We start from the raw sequence: 3,706 nt of genomic DNA, 5'->3' as shown, positions 1-3,706 counted from the left end.
ACATCCTGTGCTTTGTATAAGGAATTAATTAGGAGGAAGAAAAAGCAAAACAAAACAGTGCTAGGCCAAGTGAAACCAAAGCCTGGGGCATTTTCTCTTGCTTATTTTTTCCACAGTTGTTCTGCCCTTCCTAACACGAACACCCATCAAGCCAGGAGCTTACATTTCCTGAGCACTTGACATGTGCCAAGAAATGTGCTATATGTTTTGCCTTGTCCTCACGGGAGGCATGCACGATTATTATCCATGGTTTTTATTTGAGGCAGCTGAGCTCAGAGGGGTTAAGTAATTTTTGAAGTTCATGTAGGTGGTAAGTGTCAGAACTGGGATTTTAACCCAAGATGTGTGACATCAAAGCATAATCTTATGCTATTACTTAGCATAAGATTTTTGCCAAAACTGACAGGGAGGATGGCATGAAAATGGCCACACACACACACACACACACACACTGAATCACTTAAGATAGAAGGGAGCCAATCCAATGAACCACAAGTACTGGAAATGTTCCCTCAAGGCCCCGCCACTACACTTAAGCAAAAGTTCTCAGCAGCCAAAATAAAGTAGCTTTTTATCAGAAAACTTAGTGCTGTGCTTGAGAACTCCACTGCTATTTCTATGCTTGAATAGTTTCTGTTTTGCAAGGTCAGTGGTCCAGGTTTTGAGAACTAGCTATTTAGGTAAATGCGTGCTATGGAAATTGAGGGGTGTGCTTATTGAGGTGGCTCTCCATGCCTAGGCGACCACAGGGTCACAGGGTGTGTGCTGTGGTGGGACAATCACGCACCAGCAATTCCATGCAAATCATTCTTCTAGGAGACAATGACATTTGGCGAAGAGTGGGCCTGACCTGCTTAGCACACTCACCATCCAGATGTCCATCTTTTACATCACGGTGACATCAAACACACCAGGTATCTTCGAGCCACCCAACACAACTCACTCTCTTACTTAGTAATAACATTTCCTTCTTTCATCCTGTATATTTCTTTCTTTCTTTTCTTTCTTTCTTCTTTTTTGAGACAGAGTCTCGTTCTGTTGACCAGGCTGAAGTGCAGTGGTGTGATTTTTGACTCACTGCAGCATCAACCTCCTGGGCTCAATGGGTCCTGCTGCCTCAGCTTCCTGAGTAGCTGTGACTACAGGCATGTGCCACCATGCCCAGCTAATTTTTTTTTAGACGGAGTCTCGCTCTATCACCCAGGCTGGAGTGCAGTGGCATGATCTCGGCTCACTTCAATCTCTGCCTTCTGGGTTCAAGTGATTCTTGTGCCTCAACCGCCCGAGTAGCTGAGATTACAGGCGCATGCCACCATGCCAGGCTACTTTTTGTATTTTTAATAGAGATGGCGTTTCACCATGTTGGTCAGGCTGGTCTTGAATTCCTGACCTCAAGTGATCCGCCTGCCTTGGCCTCCCAAAGTGTTGGAATTACAAGTGTAAGCCACCATGCCCAGCCCTAGCTAATTTTTGTATTTTTGTAGAGACAGGGTCTTGCCATGTTGCCCAGGCTGGTCTCAAATTCCAAGATTCAAGTGATCCACCTGCGTCGGCCTCCGAAAATGCTGGGATTACAGGCATGAGCCACCCTGCCTGGCCTGATCATGTATATTTCTTAACTAGTCTTCCATTTGGCTCGTATAATTACATCAATGCTAGAATACAATTCACATTAGGGAGGCAAAGATAAAGATACATATGTGAAATTATATAAGATAAAGTTGCCTAAATAGAATGCAGCCTAATTCAGGCATCCCTGTTACCACGTCTGGGTTTCTAGAGCAGTCCAAGATGTAAGCAACATTTATAGATCTGGGTTTGGTAACTTCCAGCCAATTTTTTTTTCTGGTTATGATAATATTTCTTTTTTTTGCAAAATATTTTTTCCTAAGGGTAAGTGATTTTTGAATATGGGAGAAAACTACCTTTTCCACTAATAAGGTGGAGTAGATATCCTGCTAAAGCAATGCTAAATAAAACATCTAAAAATATTGAATACTATATATATATATATATATATATATATATTTTTTTTTTTTTTTTTTTTTTTTTTTTTTTTTTGAGATGGAGTCTCATTCTGTCACCCAGGCTGGGGTGCACTGACATGATCTCGACTCACTGAAACCTCCACCTCCCAGGTTTCAGTGATTCTCCTGCCTCAGCCTGCCGAGTAGCTGGGATTACAGGCACCCACAACGACGCCCGGCTAATTTTTGTACTTTTAGTAGAGACAGGGTTTCATCGTGTTGGCCAGGCTGGTCTGGAACCTCTGACCTCAAATGATCCACCCACCTTGGCCCCCCAAATTTCTGGGATTACGGGCATAAGCCACCGCGCCCAGCCTGAATACAATAATTTTTTAAGCTTTTTTTTTCAAAAAAATATTTGACTGCACTTTCAAGGCAGCAGGGGCAATTCTCAGGAGTCGGAAATGAAGAGACCAGGAAACCATGGTGGTAAGCAGGTCTGACAGCCTCTGTCCATAGACCCTATGAAGGAGTTTTTTACCATTCTCAGCTTCCAAGGCCCTGAGTTTGAATGGCCTCATGAGGTAAGGCCTTGGGTCCATATAATTTGGGAAGCTGGAAATGAGCTGCATCACATATATTTGCCACGCTCAGTGAAAAGTTGGGCCCGAAAAACTCCACACCGCAGCACGATCATGACAAAGAAGCGTATCTGCTTTGGCCTTGGCTCTAGGTGCAGGGGAAAAAGGCCCCTGAAAATGTATAATGTTAGCCTTCTGGCACATGGATTTGGGGAATGAATTTAAATCACCTGAGCTGTCCAGAAACCCCAGAGCTGAGAACTTTAACTTAGAGTGGTCTTGGGTTGAGGGCAGCTGGCAGAAGTTAAAAGTAAATCCTTTCTGGAGGTTTGCGCACTCAACCAAAGCCTCTCAAAATTCCACACACAAAGCCCAAAGGCCATGAGCTCACAGCCCCAGTCACAAACATACAAGTGAACAAGCTACCATGAGCAAGAGGCAACAGAAATGACCACCACAGAGCTAGGTCCCCCAGGGCACCAGATAGTGGAATTATCCCATATGGAATATAAAATGATCCTGTTTACACTGTTTAAAAAAATACCAGGGATTAAAACACATAAACAAGAAATAAGAGAGTTAGCCATGCATGGTGGCATACACCTGTAGTCCCAGCTACTTGGCAGGCTGAGGCACAAGAATTGCTTGATCCCGGGACGTTGAGGCTGCGGTGAGCAGAGATCAAACCACTGCACTCCAGCCTGGGTGACAGAGTGAGACCCTGTCTCAAAAAAAAAAAAAACAAAAAAAACAAAAAACAGGCCAGGCGCAGTGGCTCATGCCCGTAATCCCAATACTTTGGGGGTCTGAGGTGGGCGGATCACCTAAGGTCAGGAGTTCAAGACCAGCCTGGCCAACATGATGAAACCCCATCTCTACTAAAAATACAAAAATTAGCTGGGCCTGGTGGCAGGCACCTATAATCCCAGCTACTCGGGAGGCTGAGGCTGGAGAATTGCTTGAACCCAGGAGGCAGAGATTGCAGTGAGCCGAGATCATGCCACTGCATTCTAGCCTGGGCAACAGAGCAAGACTCTGTCTCCCACCCACCCCCTACCCCAAAAAAGAGAAGATAGTATCAAAAAGATCAAACAGACTTGAAAAAAGAAACACAGTACTTCTAAAAATAAAATAAAATAAATAATGGAAATTAAAAAC

The 3,706-nt window shown here is 44.1% G+C and overlaps 1 annotated feature.

The window, feature by feature from the left end:
• Positions 897–1,076: an enhancer, noted in NCBI's record as "active region_27312". NCBI's record gives its function as "activates an Ori minimal core promoter by ATAC-STARR-seq in GM12878 lymphoblastoid cells {active_cell/tissue: GM12878}" and the evidence as "EXISTENCE:reporter gene assay evidence [ECO:0000049][PMID:35858748]".

This window comes from Homo sapiens, chromosome 8 (genome assembly GCF_000001405.40).
Source record: "Homo sapiens chromosome 8, GRCh38.p14 Primary Assembly".
NCBI lineage: Eukaryota > Metazoa > Chordata > Mammalia > Primates > Hominidae > Homo > Homo sapiens.
The sequence above is the reverse complement of the archived record's forward strand: the minus strand, read 5'-3'. Positions and strand labels throughout refer to the sequence as shown.